Source organism: Homo sapiens, chromosome 2 (assembly GCF_000001405.40).
Source record: "Homo sapiens chromosome 2, GRCh38.p14 Primary Assembly".
Lineage (NCBI taxonomy): Eukaryota > Metazoa > Chordata > Mammalia > Primates > Hominidae > Homo > Homo sapiens.
The window spans coordinates 21,623,907-21,650,376 of NC_000002.12; the positions used below are offsets into that span (position 1 = coordinate 21,623,907).

General features: G+C 40.6%; 1 long non-coding RNA gene across 11 annotated transcripts in view; it reads right to left on the reverse strand.

Annotated features, from left to right (window-relative positions):
- The window catches only part of LOC101929230 (uncharacterized), a 42,108-nt gene extending 16,442 nt beyond the window's left edge, over positions 1 to 25,666 (reverse strand). The window contains exons 1-8 of one of the 11 annotated variants that reach the window (XR_001739326.2): positions 25,546 to 25,634; positions 23,632 to 23,846; positions 15,267 to 15,392; positions 12,363 to 14,632; positions 12,137 to 12,238; positions 7,178 to 7,279; positions 6,920 to 7,037; positions 5,936 to 6,089 (exon numbers count right to left, since the gene is read on the reverse strand). This is a non-coding gene — a long non-coding RNA (uncharacterized LOC101929230). Of the gene's footprint in view, positions 1 to 5,935; positions 6,090 to 6,565; positions 7,038 to 7,177; positions 7,280 to 8,145; positions 8,274 to 10,711; positions 10,830 to 11,919; positions 12,010 to 12,136; positions 12,239 to 12,362; positions 14,633 to 15,266; positions 15,393 to 23,631; positions 23,847 to 25,366 lie in introns of those variants that run through there. The other 10 variants (XR_939806.4, XR_244974.5, XR_001739329.2 and 7 more) reach the window with 10 other exon arrangements.
- Between the last annotated feature and the right edge of the window lie 804 nt (positions 25,667 to 26,470).

The window sequence follows — 26,470 nt, forward strand, 5'->3', positions numbered from 1 at the left end:
TTTCCTTTATCTCCCATACATTCAGATCTTTATGTTTAGTAAGCATGGATTTACAAACCTGAGAATCCTCTGAATCTTTAAACATTCATATATAAAATAGAACTTAATTTTCAACTGCTATCTCCCCACAAACTATCCAGAACAGGTCTTACACATTTCATCCTAATGACTACTTTGGACCCAAAATAATTTTTATTGATAACAGTAATATGGTAATTCATTATGGTACACTGTTACCCAAGTGCTAATTAAAAGGAAAGATAGTTGAAGGATAAAGGAGGGCTTGAAAGCACATCGCACAAAAGTTCCTTCCTAATGTATTTCCTGTCTATTACACTTATTACTGCAGGGTGGGATGACAGGTTAATTATGTACTAGGCAGGAGAGCAGGTACAGAGGATGTTACAATCTCAAAAGCAAACACTTACAATCATTTTATCTAAATATAAGACAAACTTACCTTGATGAAGGACTGCATTTAGTGATTATGTGTAAGGCGACCTCCTTACCTATAGATTGCAGATGGCACCCAGTTAAATCGTACACAACAAAAACTAGTACATATGTGCTGACCCTGCAGCAGCTAACTGTGACTCATATGTAGGGAGTGTGGATATTTGAAAGTTTGCTGTTTTCTTTTACCATGGAGGGTTCTGCTTCCTCCATTTCCTTCTCAAGTCATAGTTTAACAGCAAATCTCCCACCTGGTATTTACAAATATATAATTGAAAAAATCCTATATTTATAGCTTATGTTTATTATGAAATAGTGACAATTTGTCATTTCACTTAGGGAAGATTCTTACCCCGTGAGGGAACCCTTTGCCAACATTCTGCTCTTGGCTCCTGTCCTCTCCTGTCCTGCTCTGGAACCCATCACCTGGTGACAAGAAGCTCATCTCCACGTGGGACAGCCCATTGAATCATCCGAGACTCCTGTTAGAAGTTCCGGTTGCTGTTTCATTTTGCTTTATGTTGAGAAAATACATCCTTGTAACTATTTTCCACTGGTAGTTGTTCTTGTTTGCTGGACTTGTGCATCAGCTCTCACTATCTTTCACAGGAACGTTTTCTCAACTTTGAATATAGTTGATTCATTAGCCTGTTCTCAGGCTGCTAATGAAGATATACCCAACACTGGGTAATTTAAAAAGGAAAGAGCTTTAATTGACTCACAGTTCAACATAGCTGGGAGGCCTCAGGAAATTTACAATCATGGCGTAAGGGGAAGCAAACACATTCTTCTTTACATGGTGGCAGCAAGGAGAAGTGTCAAGCAAAAGGGGGAAAAGCCCCTTATAAAATCATCAGATCTCATGAGAACTCACTATCATGAGAACAGCATGGAGGTAACCGCCCCCATGATTCAATTACCTCCCACTGGTTCCTCTTACAACATGTGGGGATTATGGGAACTACAGTTCAAGATGAGATTTGGGTGGGGACAGAGTCAAACCATATCTCCTGAAAGTTTTGTTTCATCTCTTGTACCCCTAGTCAATTTATTTCATTATTTCTTCTTGTCACTTTTTCCCAGAATCTTCTTTATGCCAGTTGACATTCTCTGGACAGTATGTCATGATATTCTAAATGAATAGCTATAGCAATATAATATGCCAAATGTATGACTACACAGATTAAAGTAAACCTATTAAATTTGTTATTGAGATCAGTATACTTTCCCTGGTGTATACCAACTTGCCAATAGCTTTTCACTTTATAAGTTTATAGGAAGCATAGAGTTTTCCCTGTTTCCTCAACTCACCTATTGCTCCAAATAAATAAGACTTACCTATTTCTAATCAAAATATTTTCAGATTTTAGAAAACTGTAAGCAGCATACTTCTTTGTCATATTTTCTTTTTTTTATTATACTCTAAGTGTTAGGGTACATGTGCACAACGTGCAGGTTAGTTACATATGTATACATGTGCCATGGTGGTGTGCTGCACCCATTAACTTGTCATTTAATATTAGGTATATCTCCTAATGCTTTCCCTCCCCCCTCCCCCCACCCCACAACATGCCCCCATGTGTGATGTTCCCCTTCCTGTGTCCTTGTGTTCTCATTGTTCAATTCCCACCTATAAGTGAGAACATGTGGTGTTTGGTTTTTTGTCCTTGCGATAGTTTGCCGAGAATGGTGGTTTCCAGCTTCATCCATGTCCCTGCAAAGGACATGAACTCATCCTTTTTTATGGCTGCATAGTATTCCATGGTGTATATGTGCCACATTTTCTTAATCCAGTCTATCATTGTTGGACATTTGGGTTGGTTCCAAGTCTTTGCTATTGTGAATAGTGCCGCAATAAACATACGTGTGCATGTGTCTTTATAGCAGCATGATTTATAATCCTTTGGGTATATACCCAGTAATGGGATTCAACATATGCAAATCAATAAACATAATCCAGCATATAAACAGAACCAATGACAAAAACCATATGATTATCTCAATAGATGCAGAAAAGGCCTTCGACAAAGTTCAACAACCTTCATGCTACAAACTCTCAATAAATCAGGTATTGATGGGATGTATCTCAAGTAATTTTTCAATGTATTTTCTCTTCGAATAATTTCAGTTCTTCTGAAAATGTGTATACTTTTCCAGTGTGGAGATTGCACTTGGTGTTTTATTTTAACTGACTCTTCTTCACTCTTTGGCACCCAGAATATGGTGAATGGCTAATAATACTTAATCCATTTTGATTTATCCATCAAATTAATATTTATAAACAAATTCAGTCTCAGGTACTGAGTTAAGCTCTGCTGCAGCACATATTAGTAAGCTAAGTAGGATCCCAATCTTTGGGGAAAGATAGAAATATAAACAAGTTGCTCTAACAGATGATAACTGCAGTGGAAGGTATACTATAGGTATAATGCAATGACGGTGAGGCAGAATGAGTTTCCCAACTTCTCAAGCTATTCTGAATGTGCTCTGCTTTTGGTGGCCAAAATCAAACTGTGGGACCATGGTGAATTGATGTGATGCTTTGATAACTTTTCCTGACATGCCAACTTATGAATGATAATGCCACTTTTATAAGTCTACTGGTTTGTTTATATTGTTTTATTGGTAACATCAGACACTCACCTCTGAGAAAAATAGTAATAAACTGTGAAAAAAAGCCAAGTATAAATAATTTAGATTGATTAATAATTCTATAAAAAATAGAATAATGTCATTACCTGTCAGAGAATCCTTGACCAAATCACAGTTCTTTGCCTCTTTCAAAATATGTTCACATTTGCAATTCTATTCAATCCTCATAGTAACAGCAAGGTAGGTAGAATAGAGATTTTGTCTCCAATGAGATGAGAAAACTGAGGAGATTTGGCTTTCTTGGCCAAAGTGGTACGACCAATGTGCAACAGACATGTGGTCTTCTGAATTTCAGCTTTTTCTTTTTTTCTTTATCTTTTCTTTTCTTTCTTTCTTTTTTTTTTTTTTTTTTTTTTTTGAGACGGAGTTTCGCTCTTTTGCCCAGGCTGGAGTGAAGTGGTACAATCTTGGCTCACTGCAACCTCCGCCCCCTGGGTTCAAGCGATTCTCCTGCCTCCCGAGTGGCTGGGATTATAGGCACCTGCCACCATGCCCAGCTAATTTTTGTATTTTTAGTAGAGATGGGGTTTCACCATGTTGGGCAATTTGGTCTCAAACTCCTGACCTCAGGTGATCCACCCACCTTGGCCTCCTAACGTGCTAGTATTACAGGCTTGAGCCACCATGCCCAGTCTCAGCTTTTTCATTCTACAAAAAGCTACACTGAAGGGTCAACCATTTTCCTGTCTCTCTGCCTGGTGTATATATTGGAGGAGAGAAAACTTAGATGATGCTCAAAGGGGGTCATGTGTAACTTGCAACTTTATTAGGGAATTCTCAGAACAGATCCCAAAAAGCAAAGGTATAAGAGAAGATGCTGGGCCAATCTCATTTAGACCTTTCTTGTGAAAGCTAAGCCAGTGAAACCATGTGATTGATTCTTTTTAATATGGTATTATTGTCAGGGAATAGCTTCAATATGCACCGTAAGCATTAAATGCTAAAAATAATAACAGAAATTATAGATTGTTCTGACACCAGAAGAACAGAATTATGCTTCTTAACTGCATTGCCTTTAGCCAATAAAAATGCAAAATCACTTTTCTAAAAACTGTTTTCTTCTGTGCTAGATTACCAAGAGATGGCAGCATTCCATCCATCATTCAGCAACTATGTATTCCTTGCTTGAGAAATAAGATTTCCCTTTTCCCAATGAAGTGCTGAGAACACATAATAAAATTTAAAGTATGAATCTGTTTCATAATCACCCATTGTCACACAGTCATGTGGCTGTAGATTGCCTGGATCTAAGTTTGGGTGCTGATGATACATAACTGTAAAGATTCAAATGACCCATTTTAAAATAATACATAGCATAGAGTTGGTGGTAGTGTACAAAATCCACTGAGTGATGATTTAAGAAAGAGAATGGTGATATGTGGTTCCTCCTTGGATGCACTTGAAGATTTCTATTTGCAGGTTTCCCCTTTCTGCAAGTACTTGGTAACCCAAAGCAAAATGTTCTGTGTTAACAAAGTCAGGCCACTGTGTTATCCAGTTTGATATTTTGTTTGGAGTTTGGTGTTCATCGGGCAGTGGAACATTTTAGTAAATGTAACATCACAACCCACCAGTACATTCTAGTCAATGAATGGAACCACAGACATGTCATCTTTTCTAGGGAGAGGTGGAAGGAATTCTTTATTTGGAAAGATTCAGAAATTATATAAAGTTAAATATTTCACAAGTTCATGTTTCCACTGCTCAGCTTGTCATAAAAACTTTCTGGAATTTTTTCATCATTGAGTTGTTGTTTTATGACAGAGGCCAATGAAAAAAAATAATTTTGATACATTTATTACTTAAAAAGTGAACACATTTAAAGCAATGGGTATATTGACAGTCTCCCTTTTTTTTTTTAAGTAACTATATAGTTTTACTAGTTTTCAATTGTCAAACATCACAGATTTGTTATAGAATTCACTTCTCAACCAATGACCTCTGTGAAATACCTTAAACACAGTTTTGGAATGTGTAGATTCTCTAATATGTCTCATTGCTTTCTGCATTATTGGAGGCCATTGCAGCCTCACTTGATGAGACAATCATGAATCTGAATAGTATCTGCGTTATCTTCATGTCACCCAAAGGATGACTCATTCATCCCAGAGAGTTGAACAGAGGTACAAAAAGTCACACAGCAAGTTAGTAGCAGACACAGCCATGGCTAAACTCTCGTGGTCTGACTGCCAAACCAGTGTGTTTGCTACTGAATCATAATATGTAAACAATGTTCAGAAAATGACACCTTTGGTTTTTAAGGTGAGCCAGTAACAGTCCCTTTCAGGCATTCTTAGTTACCAGCATTGGAGGTATTTGAGCCATTATTTAAAAAAATATATATTTTGAGCCAAGGAAGGAGCAGTAGGAACTGATCTCTGCAGGCAAGGGAAGATGCTGGTGAGTTCTGGGCACACATGGAAAGGCATAGGTCCTCCCTCTATCAGAGACTGGAGGTTGAGCTGTGTGTCCAGAGGCAGGAACTTTTATCTATTGCATAAGACCCCTGTGCTCCTGTGTCTATTCACTTCTAAGAGAGAAGATCCACCAAGTAGGACCTCAGAGGGATCTCCAATTGTTTTCTGCAGATTGGGCATTTTGCCTAAGTCTAACTGAGAGGTTTGAAAGGATGAATACATTTTTCCCCATTGGAGAGCCAAAGCTCTTACTGCTCCTTCCTTTGCTCAAAATAATATTCTTTCAAATAACGGCTCAACTACCTCCAAAGTTACACACAGATCAAGGCCTAGGTACAGACTTGCTGAAAGTGTTACAGTTACTGCTGCAGCCAGAGACTGGGAGGCCTTGAAGGATGGCTCCTCTCTGGCTGATAATCAAATGAACTAAATCTCCCCTTCAGCTTCTTCCTTCAGGGCAACAATGCCCCAGGTGGCAGAGTCCCAGAGATGTGGGGTTTTTATTGACGAGGCACAGTCTTATCTCTTTGGTTTCCATGGATGTCCCTTTAAAGTGGATCCAGGGCCCTGGAATAAGCAGAAAAATCTTGAACAAGGAAATGTCTCAATGACTTCTCCAAGGCTCTTTTTCCTACACATAAGAAAGCCTTCATGGGGTCTGATTATCCAAAGGCCTGCATAAGAGGGCCAAGTTCTCCTTCTCTCAAGGTCCAAATTAGAAAGAAAAAAAATAGGAGAAATTATTGATAATAATGACAGTCTTTTGTTATGGGTCAGATATGATTCTGAGTGCTTTTCATATGTTAATATTTATTTTCTACACTCATCCTATGCAACTGCTACCATTATTACCTCCATTTTGCAGAGGAAACTGAGTCTCAGAGAGGTTAAACAACTTCTTGAGGTCACACAGGTAGTAGGCGCTGAGACTGGAATTTGATCCCAGGGAGACTGACTCCAGCTGTTTACTCTTAACTATACCTTACTGTCTCTGTGCCTATTTTCACCCCATCATGGTTAGTATTTTCTTTTTCTCTTTAGAAAGTCAAACCATAGCTAGTTGTGGTGTGACCTGTCTATTTTTATCTGTATTTCCAGAGAACACAGAGGCAATCAGGGTGGGAGACTTGAAAGCAAGAATGTTTATTCCTGGCTGGGAAATATACAGTTTCCCTGATATGACCATAGATGGTGCTCAACCCTGAGGACAGCGGCCTCCTGGTTATAGGGTTCCTTCAGATGGCTCCAGTTAATCTGCTGAGCGTATAAAGATGGTGCAGATCAGACCCAGGCACTGATGTGGAAAGGTGATCCGCCATGCCTTGCCCTCGAATGAGACAGATCTCATAGGCGTTAATTTTTCAACAAGCCCCAGAGTCATTTTGGGCAGATTTTACCTGCTTGTGTCCATCAGGTTTATCTCTCTTTCCTCTACTGCTGGAAACAGAAACATGACTTTGATTTACACTTCTCACAGAAAGCAAACTTTTCAGCCATTGGTTTCCAAAGTGCTTCCTATGGAAAAAAGGGAGGAAAAAAGCAGCCTAGTGGAACTTTTCTTCCAAAGACTTTTCTCCACCTCTCACCTTGTTGAATAGATAAATTTAGATGGCAATACATCTCTAGCTTCTGCTTTAACCTCTGGAGCTGCTCACCACTTCCCAGCTTCCATAGTTTCGAGCCATCCTCCATTTCAAGGTCTCTACTTGTCAATTTTCTCCATAGAATTGAGTTCTCTGAATACTTGTTCATAAATCCTTTAATTGAAGAAGATTGCTGTGGTGAATTTTACATTCTCTCTATTTCATCTGTTGATCTTGTTTGGAGAGCCTCAGAAAGAACCAGTGCCCCCTGACCTTTCATTTAGCAACACAATTTATCCTAAAATAGGTAAAACAATTTGCAAGAGAAAACTTTCCTACTGTTCTAAGCTTCCAAAGAATAGGAAACAATTTATAGTAGATGTTTGATAAAAGTCTTAGGAATCCCTCAATTACTGAATGTGGGTGAAACAATAGAAAATAATGAATTTGTAGGAGTAAAGAGCAGAGGCCTCAGACCTGGACAAGAGTCAGGATGATTAAAGGCATTGGGGCAAATGGCCAGGCCATAAATACACTGCCTACCTTCCTTATTTCTGAGTCTTTGGATTCAGGGTAGCTTTCACTCATGTTCCTTGCTATACATTGATGTACAGATAAAATTCAACATTTAAGTCAATCAAGTTTATTTCTAAGATCTATTTACTTTCTTGGTCATTATAGGGGTTTGGTTGTAAGTTTTACTATCTCTTAGTAGCAATATCCACTGGCTAGAGGAATGTATCCATTGTTAGTTTCCATTATCTTGTAGGTGACTGTATTTACCCCTTCCTGAAAGAAGATGATGACAGGACCTCTATTAGACCATATGCTTCATTATAATAAAAGAGTTGTATCATTTATTGACTCAGTTGTAAACCAAGAACTATACTAAGAATTGTAACCATATTATCTCATTTAAACTGAAAAATAACCCTATTAGGCATTTTTAGTTATCCTCATTTTACAGGTGAAAAACCAAAGGTTTAGCAAGATGAAGAAATTTGCCTAAAGTCACATTGCTAGTAAATGGTAGAGCAAAGATTGAATCCGAGATGTCTGACTATGAAAGCTGCAGTAGAAACAATTAGCCTCTTTCAGTGTCTCCTTAGGGCTTTAATTTTGTCTCTTAGTGTTGGCCCTTGTGTCTTATCCTTTATATCCTTGGAGCCTGAAACATAGAAGGTGCATGGGAGACAATGATGTTGACAGATTAGATTTGATGGCTCTTTTCTGATTTACCTGATGTGTAGTTATGAACAAAGTAGGTTTTAGAATACATTCTGCTCTTTTAACTCTGATCACCAAGATCTCATACCACATTTGTGCCTCTCTATATTTTTTTTTGTGTGTAAACTATAAACTCCCTAGGAGTAGGAATTATTTTTGCTTCATTTCTCAACTAAGTTCTTTGAATAGGGATAATCTTTTATTCCTATTTATCTATTATATATATATACACACACACACATATATAAAATATAATAATATGTATTATTTATGTGTATATATACAAATAACATTATAGTGCAATATATTATATATATTATACATATGTTACTGATTTAATGGTGACATTGACCCAATAGAAACATCAAAACAATGGAAACATCAAAAAAGACGACATCAACATGGAGAATGAGGCATGCCTTGCACTGTCACAAAAAGTCACCTGAGGCCGACCTGCTCAGCTAGAAGGAGTGATCCGCCTTATGCTTCCATTTTGCCTGTACTTTGCCTCTCCCAGTACCCAGTACCTTTCTCAGTGTATTCTACAGTAATTGTTCCTATTCCATTTTCTGTATTTCTCGCTGGACCATGATCTCCAGAAAGGCAAGTACTGTAGAACCCAGCTCCTGATTGCTCATTCCACATTTGAGGAATGATTGAATGTACTTATCTGTGGTTATCTACAACTTCAGATGCCAAGTACTCTGCATGAGTTATTTGGACTGGATGAACTGAAGCACAATCCTGAGGCTCATTGATGGCAAACATGAGGAAGATTTTTGGAAATAGATAACGATATGCTAAGTGGTATTCTCAGTAACAACAACAAAACAGAATGAACTTAGTCCTGTGTGGAAGAGATCGAATGCTCATTCTTCTAATCAATTCTTAGAAGCAGCAATTAGAAAGCAAACCAAAAATCATGCCTATAATGACGACATAGAAATTATCCAAAGGCACATAAACATGATGAAGACACAGTGTGTGAGTGAGTTTTGAGGCCCCAAGTGAAGGTCACCATCACCAGAGGTAAAAGATGTAAACCGGGTTTCACAGAGACTAACAGCCGAGTCATTTACTTGATTCCTGGAATACAGCAATTCAGAGAAAAGCTGGAGGATGCTCTTTTGTTTTCAAGGTAACAGTAGATAAAGGGTTTAATAGGGCTTTCTCTGTCTATACGCAATCTAGTCAGGCTGCGAGTGGCTTTTCTCCTGTAACACAGATCCCTGCAGAAACTGACTGCTGGCTTAGAAATGGCAGCACCAGAAAAAAAAGCTGCTGGAGGCTGAATAATTATTTCATGTCTGATCCCTAGGTCTAATACCTCGTGAGTGAAGCAAACCCTTTAGTAAAACAAATACCCACATTACACCTATAGGAGCAAAGAGACAAACAAGAAGAGGCAGCCAATTCTGTTGCTGAGGCAGGCGCCAGTGAGGATTGCCAGAGGGCATCTGCATGGCTAGCAACAAAGCCTGTCTCCGTCTGCGAAATGGGGTGCACTGCTAGCTGCCTGAGCTGGCTCCTGCAAGGACACCACTGTAGGGGATATTAGGACAGCTCTGGCTCGAGCATAGACGTGATGTTTGCTAAATTGATTTCCATTTTTACTAACTGAAAACTAGTCGCTAAAGGGAGAGTGATTTCCGGGTGCCATATGGGGACATGGATATTTTCTAATTTAGTGGCTTGAATATTACGTGTTCATCTTTGTATTAAGACATTTTATTATAATTATATATACTGCCCCTGGCTGAAACAAACAGAGCTATTTGTTGAAAGGTTAAACGAGGAGAGTTGATGACTTCGCTCATGCTTGGGGAATCAAAAGAGATATGACACCCGCATTATGTCAATTATGTTCCAGGAAGCACAGCATGTCAGGAAGGAGCAAGGTCTGCAGTGTTGATCAAAGGAGAGTGATAAACTCAGATCTCATTTACAACCTTAGCATCGTGTCCTGACAGAGCTGGAAAGATCTTCAACATCATTTAGTCAAAACCTTTCATTTTAGAAATCGAGGGCCCGGAAAAGGGAAATGACTATCCCAAGATCACACATCCATAGGCAGATTCAAGAATATTCCAGGTTTTTGAAACCTAGTCTTGTGAGCTCTCCACTTAATCCCATTACTTTGCCTCTTCCCTCCAGGTAGCTGTGGTTCGTTTGTTGGATGTGACAGTGATTACAGTGATTGAAAAAACTTTGTTTCTTTTCTAAAACACATATTTTAGAAAAGCTTTCAAAAATAGAAAATATGCATATATATGTATATATATAATTTTCAAGAAAAAAGAACAGAGTCAATACCCTACTACTTAGGAGGATGTGGTTGATACAGCATTTGTGTAGTTCAAGCAATCAAAAATGTTTCACCTGCACTACAGCTGAGTTTCCAAAAGTCATTTAGCCCTTGTTACGATCTGAATGTTTGCGTCTCCCCAAAATTCATGTGTTGAAATGCAATCTCCAGCATAATGCTGGGAGGTGGGTCCTGTGGAAGATGATTAGATCATGAGTGACTTTTCCCTTATGAATAGAATGAATGCTCTTATAAAAGAAGCCTAAGGGACTTTGTTTGCCCCTTCCACCATGTGAGGACACAGCTAGAAGGCACCATCTTTGAAGCAGAGAGTGAGCCTGAAGTATTTTGTTATAGATACTTCTTGTCTTGTTCTCTGAACTTCTGAGAAGCAGAAGCTATTTTAAAGCCAACTTCTTAATATCAATGTATCTATTCAGGTTAAATTATTACAGATATATACGAAACTCTCTCCCTTCTCCCTCTCTCTCTCACACACACATGCACACGCGCATGCCACCAAATTAAATATGAGGTGTTATTCGACAATTGCTAAATAACGAATTCACTAAATACTACAGAATTTAAGCAAGTGGATACGTTTCTTACCCTTGGAAAGATTTCTTAGAGTTGGTGGGACTTGAATTGGATGTTGAAAGATGAGAAAATTTCGACAATAAAAGAAGAAAGAAGGAACCATTTCAAGGGAGAGAACAAGATGTGGGACTGAGCGTGATATAGGAGTGACAGGGTGGTGCTGGGGTTATGAAAAGTGATTGGGGTTGGTTGCACTGGCCTCAGAGGCACATACACAGGCAGAAATGAAGTATGTTTTCAGGGAAGCTCAGTAGGTTACAATTATAGAGAAGACGTACTAAGATAACACACTCAAAAATTGAAACTCAATACTATGTGTAGGTACATTGAGGTGATGCGTACGATTAGTTGTTTTCAAGAATTAAACTAAACTAGATTTTATGTAAAATACAATAATTCTCTTTCATTAGTGACTTAGAGAGGGAGCTCTCTCTTCCTCAACTCCCACATCCATCTGGCCCCAACCTTATTCCCTGCCAATCTAAGTCAAATTTAAAGTAAGGAACAAAAAAATCTGTAATTGAAGTTGTCTATTTTTGCTAGTTATGTCTATCTCCTCAATGCTGCTTATGATTAAATCAGATGTCCCAATAACTGCTAATGGTAACGATTTAAATGAAAACTTTTTAGTTTTATTCAACATATAATTGGCAAATACTTACTATTAAGTCTTAACGTGTGCCTGAAATTGGGCTGGTGTCCGAGACTTGGAGAACAATAACAAAATAAGCTCTCAGTTCTCAAGCAGCTTGAAATCAACTAGGGGAACTTAATGCTGGAAAATATTCCAGATGTGCTTTCAGAGATCTGTTCAGTGAAACTTGGCACATAGGAATCATTTAATACACGTTTGGTGAATTGACAACCCCTCATCTTGTGCCCTAGATCCCATTCCTTCTCACCTTTTCGAGGACTTTGACTTTTCCGCTCCCCAACATACGTGATGTTCCCTCTTCAATAGGGTCATTCCCATTAGTAGGTAAACACGGTATCATCATTCCTATCTGAAAAATAAAATATAGTCAGCAAAAACCTCTTTTGACCCCACATCCCCCTCCAACTCTTGTCACTCCCCCTACTCCCTGCCCCTTTTATACTCATGTCTGCTTTTTCAGTGAGCATCCTCACATGAGTTTATTCCAACGAGGCTCCTTCATCCAGTCCACATTACTTTATCGACACCACAGTTAGAAGGAGCACTGGTGATCGCTTTGCCGCCAGTCCAAGTTACTTCTCTCTTCGTATTTTACTTTATCCCTCAATAACATTAGCAAACAAACTCCTGTCTTCTCGGAGCTGGGTTTTTCTCTTGGCATCATGGCACTAGACACGCCTGGTTTTCCTCTTCATTCTTCAATGCCGGCTTCTCCCACTGCTCGATCTGTCTTATCTCCTGCTTTTCTCTCTCTTTGCATTATCCCTAGGTGATATAACTGACATCCTGGTTTTAATTACTATCTCTATGCCAGTGACCCTCAAACTGTATCTCTAGTTCTTATTATTCCCCAACAATCCAAGTGTGAATATCCTTCCAGGTGAGTGTCATGTGGGTGTTTCAACTTTAACAAGGCAGGTATAATTTTCTCAATTTCCCAGCCCAGCTTTGCTCCTACATCAATTCTCTACATCTCTCTTTTTGGCGTTACCATATACCTAGTTTCCCAAGCCAAAGCTCAAAATTTTTACTTGGTTCTTCGTTTCTCCTCAATTCTTACATCCAATTCATGAGTAAAAACTATAGATTCTACCTATAGTCAGGCCTAACATTATTAAGTTTTCTTCCTTTTATATAACCCCTAGCAAAACCACTGCCACTTCTAACTGAGTCTAATGCAATAGCTGATTTTCCTATTTCTCTTTTTACCTATTTACAAAGTGTTCCATAACATACTCAGAATTATCCTTTACATATGTAAATCAGACCATATTCATTTCCTACATAAGACCCACTAATGGCTTCCCAACACACCTAAAATTAAAATTCCTTTCTCTGCCTTATAAAGCCTAAGATGATTGGTTCCTAGTTACTATTCCAGCTGCTTCTTATACTCACTCTGTGGTATGCAAGAAAATACTCAAAAACAGGCTCTCTGAATGGGAGTTGAGGGTTGGGGACAAAGAGGGAGTCCTGATTCACAGTGTTTGCCGATTTCTCAGGTATGAATATTCCTACCATAGTCAATTATAAGCTACCAACGTTATATGAATTGCCTTACAAAATCCCTGAAAATGCAACAATTGTCTCTCACTAGGAATAAAAACCAGCCAGCACCTGGTGTAAACCTTCATCACAATGCTCTAGCCACCCTGATCTTCATTTATTTCCTCAAAAACATCATTCAAGTACCTGTTTTAGCCCATGGATCCCATTTTTCCCTCTGCCTGAAATCCTCTTCCTCTTGATTATAATACAGAACAAGAACCATTCTTGCTATTTGGGTCTTATCTAAGTGTAGAGATTCCTCATTGAGGTCATCTTCGACCATCCCATATAGTTACCATTTAGTCATTCTCTAGTACATGCTCCAACAGTAACTCTCTCCATAAGACCCGAAGCTGTCTGGCTTTCACCTAATGTGTATATTTATTTATATTCTGTTTGCCTCACTATAATTTAATCTCCATGATTGCAGGGTCCTTGTTGATCATGTTCACAGCTGTATCCCCAGTGCCGAGAGCAGTGCCTAACACACACCAGATGCTCAATTTGAAAAACATTTCTAGCACAATTGATCTCTGCTTGCTTACATGGTCTTTCTAATAACCATAAAGTCAATTTTCCCAAACACAACTTGCCTTCCTCCTGGTCTGCCATTTTGAACTCCCACATTTCCTAGCCTGCAATGCTGTACCTGTCTCTCTGCTCTTCAAATGTTAAAATCTCTTTACCCTAAAAGGCTACAGTCATGTCTTTTTGTTAAAATAAATTTTTTATGGTCATTCCAGGCCATGGATTCCTTCACCTTTGAAGGCCAGCAGTACATTTTAACTGCATAGGTGTCTGGTAATTAATTGCTAATGTACTGCCCAGTGACACCCTCAGTTACTCTCTTCTCTTGTGATTTATTACTTTTATTTTCATTTAATGTATTCAATGCCCATATCATCTTTCTGCCATTTGACTCTGAGCTTCTGTAGGTCCACTCCAGGTGTGTACTTCCGTCCATGTCCACTAAGATTCTTGGAGCCATTACATGAACACAGTGCATGTTTAGTAAGTGTCCATGAGTTGGATTTGCTTTATGGATCTCCTTTTATTTTCCTTTATAGGAGCATGCTCCATTCTTCTTTACTTTGGTTTGTGTCCTGGGAAACTGACATGTATGCACTTCATTAAAGAGCTCTCATCCTTTCTGGCTGTGATGAGGTTGAGCCAAGGGAGAGCAGGAGTTCAGGATCTGGTGGGAGAAAGGAGAGTGAGGTCAGAGTATGCATTTCTCCCGGCCCTTCCCCTCCCTGCAGGGTTATAGTGAGTTTGCTTTACCTTTTGTTGTAAAGCATCAACTTTCATCAGGTAATGTATCTACCTAGCGCTCTCTCTCTCTCTGGCTCCAGGGGCCACTTCCTCTTCTCAATCCTTCAAGTCTAAGGGTGGTTACTAGACCTGTGGTATGTCACCATTCCTTGGAATTTCTGTACACATTGCTCATACCTTTATAAGTAGTCTCTTTATTGAACTCTTCTCAACTTACCCAATTCGAGGGTGTCTCCTGTTTCCTGCTAAATCCCACAATAATTTCTCCCCTTTACACAGAAGCTGACCCATTCTTTAGTACATAGCTTGGGTCCTACCTCTGCTTGAAGCTTTCTCTATTTACTTCTGATAGAAATGAGGCTCAACACATTTTAGCTCAATTGTATTTGGCCAAGTTATGTTTTTATAAATTCCAGTCCCCTTGTCTGTGACAAGGAAATTCCTGCCTCTAATAGGAATTACATTTCTTGAAAACAGAGATGTGAATATACACCCCAAAATCTCTTTTCTCTAGCTTCATCACCATTATCCCATGATGAGCTACCATCATCTCTCACCTGGCTTGTGCCCATTCCAGAGGCCTTTCTAATTAATTGAGCTGCATCTTTTCTGGATCTTCTCACATCTGTCTATGTTCCATGGTCAGTGTGTTAGTCCATTCTTGCATTCATATAAAGAAATAGCTGGGAGTGGGTAATTTATAAAGAGGTTTAATTGACTCACAGTTCTGCAGGCTGTACAGGAAGCATAGCAGCATCTGCTTCTGGGGAGGCCTCAAGAGGCTTCCAATCATTGTGGAAGAGGAAGAGGGATCAGTGACATCACATGACAAGAGCAGAAGCAAGAGAGAGAGGCGGGGAAGGTGCTATACACTTTTAAATGACTAGATCTCATGAGAACTCACTCGCTATTGCAAGGGAATGGTGCTAAACTATTCATGAGAAATCCGCCCCCATGATCCAATCACCTCTCACCAGGCCCCACCTCCAACATTGTGGATTACATATCAGCACGAGATTTGTATGGGACATTCAAACCACCTTAGTCAGGGTGATGCCTAAAACATTCAAATCTGATCATACTTCACCACTCATATCCCAGACACACATGCACAGAGACATTCCATGCATGTCCATTAACAGCCCTTCCACACTCTGAAGAAAACAAAATGCCTGAACTTGATTCACAAGGTGTCTCATACTCTGGTCATCACCTAATTCACCAGCTCCCTCTCACACTATAGCTCTTGGCTCTTTCCAGTTCAGTGACACTGGCTTTCTTTCAATGTCCCAGATGCCCCATATCCCCTCCTTTCATGGAGCATCTGATATGCAGCCTCCACTCCCTGGAATGTTCTTTCTTCCTCTCTTCCTCAGTTAACTTGTTCTTATCTCCAGATCTCATCTTAAGTGTCATTTTTCTCCAGGAAGTATTCCTGACTTTTATAACTAGGTCATATTTCCTTATTTCCAAGTTTCTTCTCCTCATAGCAATCATCACAGTTGCAGCTTTGCATTTGTTTGAGTGATTACTGATTTGTCTGTATCTTCCACCAGCTCACAAACTTCACAAACACAGAGTCCAGGTTTGCTCACTCTTGGCCAACAGTGCTGAGTAGTACTGGGCACTCAATAAATATTTGCTGGACAAACATACGATTCTGACCCAGTGGTAATGGATGCCTCATATCTACTGAATTTCTTCACAATTACATTTGTTATTCTTCTGAAAAGTATTTCTATTTTAATCAGATAAGTAGACAAATCACCATGACAAAAAAGAGTAAGTTATTATAAAAGTACGTAAATATTTGGGGTTCCTTATAAAGCAGTGGTAAATGCAGATAAGTAAAAGAGAAAATCCAGAGATAAGTACTGTTAATATATTGGTGTATGTTATTCAAGAATATATTTCTATGTTATTCAGGAGTCCTTTGTATATAAGCAACAGTAAGTGAACTAACAGAGGTTAGATAAGAAGTGAATTTATTGGCAGGACATCTAGTAAGGTCACATAATCAAAGGAGAAGCTGATATTTGAATTACAGGAAGTCCGGGAGAGTAATTGGAATCCAAGTTTGAAACTCCATTAGCAGTCTTGCTTTCTGCATCTCTGACTATCCTTTCTCTCTGGGTGCCAACATTATTATTTCTTTCTGTAGTACAGCTTCATCCATGTGGGGTAATTTTGATTCTGGAGTAGAAAATACTTTTCCATTTCCAATTTGAAAATAATTATGAATCTGGGAAAAAAATATTGTTGGTCTTATTAACTTGATTTTGATCCTGAAAAAGAGTGTCGGCACCATATAAGAATATGGTTGGATGGGCCGGGCGCAGTGGCTCACGCCTGTAATCCCAGCACTTTGGGTGGCCGAGATGGGCGGATCACGAGGTCAGGAGATCGAGACCAGCCTGGCTAACACAGTGAAACCCCGTCTCTACTAAAAATACAAAAAATTAGCCGGGCGTGGTGGCGGGCGCCTGTAGTCCCAGCTGCTCGGGAGGCTGAGGCAGGAGAATGGCATGAACCCGGGAGGCAGAGCTTGCAGTGAGCCGAGATCGCGCTACTGCAGTCCAGCCTGGGCGACAGAGCAAGACTCTGTCTCAAAAAAAAAAAAAAAAAAAAAAAAGACTATGGTTGGACCTGGGGGAGAAACAATTACAAAAATAATACAAGTTTGAGGAAGGTTGGTAAGAGGTATCCATCACAATATGTGTGCAGTGTGTATGTGTGTGCATGCATGTGTGTGTATGTGTGTGTGCTAGGCACATTGTTTCCTAGCCTCTTACCTCATGCAATGATATATCATGACCATCTTTAAAAGAATGGCGCTGAAACTGTAGCATTTCTGTCATCCTGACATGCTTGACAAAAGCAGAGCTTGGCCTGTGCTTGGCAGGAGAAAGCAGTTTTGCTCGGCCTTTTCATTCTTTCAGTGGAAGCACCACTGAGAAATGAAAAGTAGAGGAGAGGAAACCACAGGGCAAAGGAGGAGGCCTAGAGAGAGACTGAGCAAAAAGATCCTGGATTTAGGCCACAAGGAGGAAAAGTCATTCAAAGAAAAGGCAAGCAGACCAAATGAGCTCATTTCTGAGAGAGGAAATGGGAGTTAATGAATAAAGATAGAACTAGAAATCTAAGGAGATAATTGGCCTTACTAGATATAGGGTCTCTTGCCAGAACAGTACATCCTCAAAATGCTAATTCAGAGCCCCAGAAGATTGGAATAGCATTAGATCAGAACAGACTCATCAGACCTATTTGCAGGAAAGTCAGGAGGGCTTGGAGAACAGGGATATAAGTCGGCATCTGAAGCAGGAGAAGGAAGATATATGTCACTCATTTTCCCTGGCCTGGCCTCTTCCTGAAATCTCTTGGGCTTGGCTGCTCCCCTCCCTTGCTCTGCACACAGGTGGAGGTGGAAGATGAGGCCCCTCCCAGTGGTATCTACTGAAGATGTGTCCTTCCATCCTGAGGCGGCTGTGCTCCCAGAGCTGTGCGTCACAAAGTTTTCCAGGAGTTCTGAGGGTGTGTGCTCAGCTGTCTGTCCCAATCGCCCAGAGATGTTTCCTGTCCCAGGGGCCTGCAAAGCCAACTCTTTGGATTTGGCCAATGCCAGCCACCTACTGAGCCCTGTTAGCATTATTTAAATATCATTTCACATTTTATATTCTCATGGCGGGTAACATGATCTCAAATTCGTGCAGCATCTGCTCTTTCCTTATCCATCTACTCTGGAGATAATTTTTAAGAGATTTTTTTTTCTAATGACTCCAAATTTAAAGCTTTTTTAATGTGGAAGTTTGGGAGACTTTGAAAAGTCATGCTCAGCAAAAAAAAAAAAAAAAAAAAAAAAGTAATTTATACTCTCTCTAGTTAATAATCTCTTATGTGCTTTAATAATTTAAACCAATTATCAATGGGAAAGTCTATAGTGTATACTTCAATGATTGCTTTTCGTATATTTCCTTCTTTCTTTCATGCCGCATGCCACTTGTCCTCAATGTGTCTCCAGTGCCTATTATCGTTGTTACACACATAAAATAACTGCCTCAGCTAGGGGAACATGACCTTGACACTGAGAAGAGCAGTCCTTTAAAGGATAGCTCAATTAAAACCTAAGGCTTCCGCTCCTGATTGGATTTCATTACTATTCATAAGACCGTGTGGTGCTGAGCCACGTGTTCAAGGGGTCCTCAAGGCTGGTTTCAGATAAGGTGCATTAAAGTTATCAGTGGGATGCCTGCCTGGAGCCTGCTGATGCTGAGTCACCACAAAGCTCATTAGCCTGACTTGGCTCACGGAGGTTTTCTGCCTCCAAATGAACATACGTAGCTCTCTCTTAGATGGGGAACACCTTGAGGGAGGCTGTGCAATGGACTAGTTAGGAGCATGGGTTATTATGTTCACACTGATCTACGTCTGAATTGCAGGTCTGAAATGTAAAAGCTCGTGGTCTTGAACAATTTATTTAAATTCTCTGAACTCAATTTACTCATCTATAAAATAAGAAGAATCATATGTTCCTTGTAAAATTGAGGCAGTGCCTATAAAATGCTTAGCAGAGTTTCCAGAATACAGTAAGCTCTGAAACTATTAATAATACAAGGAAATGGCTTCCTTTTCTTTATATATACCCAGTGTTCATCATGACCATTCACTGCTGAGATAAGACTTGGATAGTGAAAACCCAGCTAACATAAGGTGGGGTGATGGGGGAAAATGCCATAGTCAGTGATTCATTGTTTAGGAAAATAAGAGAAATGCAAACAGGAACAGCGGGGGAGGCTTTCTTGCAGAAATGGAATGTGAAGTGAATTGCAGAGGTGGGCTATGGACATGGAAACTCTTCAAACAAGCAGGAGTAATGATTTGTGCCAAGTCAAGAGAAAGTACTTCATGAGTGAAGCATGTTTAATTCAAAGGTTAAGAGATCTGAACTGTTCAGGAGGCCAGAGAGAGGATCATCAGTAGAAACCGCCTATAAATTATCTGAAGGCTGCAGAAAGGAGGCCCAATCTGAATTATATGCCAAGTTCCAAGTAGTAACCCTAATACTTTAAAGGCAAGTCTTGATGATTTTTATTCCCCCATACAAATGGCTCTCCTGCTTCATCAAGAATACGTAAAATGAACATGCAATGCAAGGACATATTATAGAATGACATGGGAGCCTTGTCATAGGGGCGAGGTGTGAGTGAGGGAGAGGACTTAGAAGAGTATCGAAAACCTGCCACTTTGGGTAGGTTATGCTGAGTGTCATTCCTTCTAACTATACCTTGAAAATATCAACTCTGCAATATTCTAGTGATTCTAGGGCAGGATTTCTCAACTTCAGCACAATTGACATTTTGGGCCAAATAATTCTTGGTAATGGAGGGGTGTCTTGTGTATTGTAGGAGCCATCTGTGGCTTCACCTGCTGGATATTAGTAGCAACTTCACAATAGCGCCAACTGAAAATGTCTCCAAATATTGCCAAATATTTTTTGAGTGAGGAGCAAAATCACCTGAGTTGACAACCACTTCTCTACAGAAGTGATACTTCTCTGTGGAGACAGGTATACCTAGAAAACTCAGTAAGTAGTGTCTGAAATCTCTGATCCGGACTCTAGTTTATGCTGAGGGTTAGCTCTGGCATTTGTGAGTCTAGTTGCTATTGGTCTGTTGGCAAGTGGGCAGGTACCATGATGTGACATCATTTGCTTTGGTCTGACACAATCAAGGCAGGTTAAACTTTCAGATGGAAAAATAATCTCCAAATTTAATTAATGCTTCTTGGCAAAGAGCAGCAAGATTGGCTTATCTGTACTATCCTACACCAGGGCCAGGCATGTTTTCAGCATGGTTGTGCTGGTTTCATGACATCACAGCTTTGACATGCATTACTGGATCTTGTGAACTTCTGCTCCTTTCAGACTATGTGTAACTCAGAGACAACTCTGTGTCAACACAGAGACTATCATATGTGGAATAGAGTGGGGACCGAAAGGAAGACTTTTTTTTTTTGGACAGAGTTTTGCTCTTGAGGCCCAGGCTGAAGTGCAGTGGCATGATCTCGGCTCACTGCAGCCTCCACCTCCTGGGTTCAAGCAATTCACCTGCCTCAGCCTTCTGAGTATTTGGGATTACAGGTGCCTGCCACCTCGCCCAGCTAATTTTTGTATTTTTTAGTAGAGACAGGGTTTCACCATGTTGTCTAGGCTGGTCTCAAACTCCTAACTTCAGGTGATCCACCTGCCTCAGCCTCCCAAAATGCTAGGATTGCAGGTGTGAGCCACCATGCCCGGCTGGCATTTTAACAGCACTGGCTTTAGGTAGTGTTGAGGAAGATTAAATATAAACCTCATACAATTGTTCTAACTGATCCACATTTAGTGCGGCTATTTGAAACCACGATTCTGGCATTTTCTTACAATATCCAGGTTCAGGATATGCACATAGAGGCGAACACATGCCTCCTAAAATGCTTTTATAAAGAGTGGAACAAAGTTCTAAAATCTTAATCACTCGCTAATCACAAATTGTGTCATCCCTCCTATTTGTATCAAACTCTTCTGCAATTGTTATTCTTGCCCGAAAGCATAGGTCAGCATTGCTGACCCTCAACAGGGTCAGGGTCAGCTCCATAACTCGGATGAAGTGTGACTGCCTGGGAGCCCACTGACAGCAGCACCAGCTACCAGCTCTCAGGATGCCCATTCGTCTGGATCATAACTAGAAGACCAGGCACAAAAACAGAGAGGCAGACAAGCCTTCCTTTTATGGGGCTGGGATTATCCATTGTGGATTGCTCTCTTTCTCTTAACTTATGTTTTTATTTCTCTGTTTTAGTAAGCTGTTTTCCCAATATTTCCAACACGCTAGTCTACATTTGTCTTTCTTCTTAAGTTTAGTATCTTAGCCAATGAGCCAAAATTATATTCAAGACTAAATGTCAAGCCCTACAAAGACTACAGGTGAAGTAAAACTTCTATAGTTCAGTGTACATTCTGCTTTAGCCTTATCATTTTCTGATATTCTAAGTTCTTTGAATTAATTTTCCTCCCTTTGGTTGCCAAACCAGATGAGATCCTTGAGACAAGAGCTGAAACCCTAAAAGACACAATTTCGTGAGTTACTTAGATCTGGAGAGGGCAACTTCAGAGTGACGAAATAGTACAATGAAATACTATAAAGGGTTCCAGTGTTCACATCAAGTGCAAGTTTCCAAGTACCAAATACGTTGCTCTTGAACTCTGAACTCACAAAGACTGGAGGATGGTTGACACTACATGACCTCATTTTTAGCTTTCAATATTGATTTTTAAAATTTCTTACTATGGAAGAGATAGCCCATCTGTCCTTTAAGAAATTAATGGCTTTAATGCCATGAGTTTTAATGTAAAGTTTTCAATTACCATTGCTGTTATTTGGCACACATAGAATAAAAAACATAAGTCCTTTCTTCTGACTGATTGCTCCATAGGACCTACTTCTGTCTTTTGCTATTTAATATGGACAGCTGCAGAGCCTAAGTGACAACTGCCAACACAGAGGAGAAAGAAAAGGGTGGTAGTCATAAAAATTGTTAAGCTGACCAAGAACAAAAGCCCATTATAAGTGATAGAACATTATCTGAAAGAGGGTCTGAGTACTCCTCACATTGCATATATGATCAGATCTCTCTCCCACCTGAGCAAAGCAGTTTCACTTGCTTACTACTGTTTTCTTACATGTCAACATTGATTTATTGACAGATGGAGGACACACAAGCACCATGATGCTGTGAAGTTTGCTGTAAGAATAAAAAAACATTCCCAGCCTCGCAGACGACGCTTGTTACTAATCACCACATTGCTGGTCATCAGATCCAGGGGAGAGGGTAACTAGTGGGCAGTGTTAAGCCATTTGGCTCAAGAGTTCAAAGGATGAAAAATCACAGCTGCTTCCCTTATAAGCCATAAGGGCCAGATCGCTACAAAATGCAACTTATGAGAGTTAAGGGAGGACTAAAATGAACACGGAAAATTGGAGCTGCCTTAATTTGCTGAGCCAGCATATGCTACAGAATAAATAAACTGTGCAGGCAAAACCCAGGCCACACAGAGGCTCCCCTCCCTTCCCAGGCAAGGGTCTTGAAGAAAGAGCTGCTCATCTCCTAGCCTATCAGCTGCTGGTTGAGCCCACATAGGTTCCTGTGCCTGGAGTATGGGTTTGTGGCTCTCTGTGGGCAAAAAGCATCTCCCTGGACTGGGGAGAAAGTCGGCAGGGGATATTACGATGGGCAGGATTGCATTACAGGCCCAGAAATGCAATGGATTTATCTGATGCTCAAGATGCATCTGAGCCTTGTGTTCCTGTCAGTGCTTCCTCCTTTTGTTATTATTAATACACAGATTATCACTTACCAACTCCCATGAGCTCTCTGACTCTAAGGAAAACATTTCTCTCATCATCAGCTAATGAGAACATTTTGTCCCTGTAATCCCTAAAGAAGTGTACTCCTCTCCTAATTAATGAACAAATATTTATTGAGAAGCTTTGGCACACAATCTCACTGCCATTCCCTTGGAGTCTCTCCTCCGCTCCTCAGTGTTCTCAGAGAACTCATTTTGCTTGCACTTCTGAAGCATGTTTGTTGCACTGTATGATCATTACATGTCTACATGTCTGATTCTCTCACTAGGCTGAGAGAGCTCTCAAACTCAGGAGCCCTATATTCATCTCTGTAAGTTTAGTAGCTAGAATGAGTCCTAGCAGAGAGCAGGTGCTGAATACATAGTTAAGGAATAAATGCGTGAATAATGCATAGATGGTTCTCATCTCCTTGGCCCTGTGAAAGACATAAGAACAATGCAAGCCACATCCTCTACTCCTGGAGTAGCTCAGAGTCAAAGTGTGGGTCCCATGAATATAAATACAGCAGATGATTAGTTACCAAATAGATTCAGGTAATGAATCTATCAGAAGGGTCTGGAGGTGGCGATCAGGATATGCTGGAGAAACCGTGCAAGATGTACAGGGTGATGGAGCTTGAGTTGCATTTGGAAACTGGAAATCACGGTTTTGAATTCCTGGAAGATGATAAGGAGACACGGCCCTCCCAACTTGCTGGTTTTTCTTTCAAGGCATTCAGAAATGCAGGGCTCATATCTGAAATGAAAAGTCCGTGATGTTCTTTTTAGTGGTATACAGTCTTTTGGATTGGGGAAGGTCAGAAAAATAATGACACTGTGAATTCTATTAGGGAAAGTTTACCCCTCATCTGTGAAAAGACAGCCTCTAAGTCACCATGAGTGTTCTGTTACTAGGCTTTGGCCCCTTCTCGAACCCCTGTCCTTTTCTGTTTTTTTACTTCACTGGGCTGGGGAGACCCAGGGCGGGGGGCGCTGTAGCCAAACATTCTCAAAGTGTTTGAGACTATAAAATTCATGTACATGGGGAGACTGTGAAGGTGGCAGCAGAAAAACATTTTTTAAAAAAGGAAAAGATGGCAGACGGTCTTTGATTTAAATGGAGGCCAGATCTAGCTTTGCCTTCCACAGCTACCCTTGCTACGTGCTCCTCCCTCTTGGAGGTGCCACTCAAATGAGCGTTCTAAAAATCCTCCTGGCTGCAATGTCCACTGAGAGCCAGGATTGCCTGTGCTCCTGTCTTGTCCCTCCTCTAGGTCAGCATCCTGCATCTGGCCTGCCCTATCTGACTGATGCAGCAAGGATGCCTTCTCTGTTTCCTTCCATTTTTCCTCATGCATGGACTAGACCCAGCTCTGCTCCACCTGGCCCAGGGAGTTCATGGTGTGTCCTAAGCCACATCAGTCACACCTAGAACCTTATCCCTGACCAAGGCCTGGCATCACCCAGTGAGAATCCCCCATTGTCTTTCTTTCAGAATGTGATGGGTCTTCTGGGTGTGATATTTGCATGAATCCTTAGAGAAGGAAACTTGAAAAGATATAAAGAAAACTTGTAAATAACTGACTGAAAGAAAGCAAACTTCTTTACTGCTACTCTTCATGGTGCCTTCCATGTGGCTCCTAGGGATATCTTAGGAACCAGGCAAGATGCAGAGGAACATTCTCTTCTGGCTCCTCTTTGTAAGGTCAGTACTTTCCCCAATTCCCATACAAGGGTGGTTTCTGGACTGGCAACCAGAACTGCCAGGCTACTATTAGGTGTGGTCCTTGGAGTTGTGGGGAAAAAAAAGAAAAAACTTTCCAATTTAACATTTATTTTTACTCAGAAGAGGTGTGCCTCTCTTCACACAGCCTGGCCCACACTCTTTTTCAGTGCTGCCCTATATTCCAAATGTGCACCTGGACAAGCACTTGCAAATATGAGGGCTGCATTAAAGGAAGTCAGGCAGAAAGGTAAAGCCAGGCTGTGGACCTAAAATAAGATATATGGCTTCTGCCTCATGCTCATTTTGATGTGGTTTCTGCGGGGATCATCATCTGTGGGGTGACATCAGACATTGTCAGCAGATTCTGCTGTCTTTTAGCTAAGGGGTAGCGTGAGCATAGGGCCATAAGTTTGGAAGGGAAGAGACAGAGTCAGAAGAATGGCCTTGGGACACAAAGTAGACTGATAGCTGACACTCCTATGGCCCCAGGAACACTTGTGAAATGTTTGTGAACATAAGGAATAGCCCAGAAAACAAAAGCACAAACACACAGTAGAGGAAAGCCTGCCATGTGACCACTCCTCCTCCAGACATGGGATCCTCGCTCTTCCCCTCACCCAGGGAGAGGCATGCAGAGGCCTCTTTGGTTTTTAGAAGAAGGAGAGATGATCTGGACATTCGAAAGAAAGAGATTCGGTCTAGAAGTTAGAAACCATGGGTCCCAGATGACCTGTCTCAGTGTGATGTTGAGTCGCCTCCATCCTTATCTGCTGAGTCTTAGTGTTTCTCATATGCAAAATTAGAGACTTGAAGAAAGTGGCCTCTAAAGAACCCTGTGGCTATAATGATCTGTGAATCTATGACATCACATTAAGTGGTTGAGAGGAGAATTCTAGTGAGGCACATTTTTATTTAAAGTGTGGATTCTCCATTATAGAGGGAGAGAGTTCTAGGCGGCAGCTACTTCAGCTTCTCCTCAGGATAGCTGGCTGGACATGAGGCTCCTGGCACCCATGTTCACTGGTAGAGCCCAGTCCATTGATTTTAGGCAATGCATATTAGTAAAAAGGATGAGCACATATTATTCATTAATTTACCTATCAATTAAGTAAATGCTCTTCAATGGCTCTTACAAACTGGCTCTGTGCTGGGGATGTAAGAGAAACAAAAGCAAACACAAGACACGGTCTTTGGCCTCAAAGAGCTCACATCCAGTGATGGGGATAGAAGTGGCAGCTCAGGAGGGGCTCCAGCCTAGAAAGGCAGCAGAGAAGCTTCCCTGGCAGAGGATTTCCAGAGCTGACTTTTGAGGACTGATTGGACTTTTGACAAGATGGAGGGTGAAGGTGGGGGAGTGGGCAGGTAAGAGACGGAGGGTGTTGAAGACAAAAGGACCCGCTTATTTGATTATCCTGTTGGGAGGGAGTCTGAACAGAGGTAGAAGGAGATGAAACATGAAATACTTCCTATCTTTGATGCCCCTGCCTTAAACAAGGGAAAAGACAAACAGTGAGAATAAAGAAACCTGAATCTCAGAGCCATCCCTGTTCCTGCCATGCTTTGTGGCTTTGTGCGTCTTGCCCGGGGTGCGTTCTGCAGCTTCTGGACGCTTATTATCCATAATAATCATAATAATTAATAAAACCTTTTAAAGG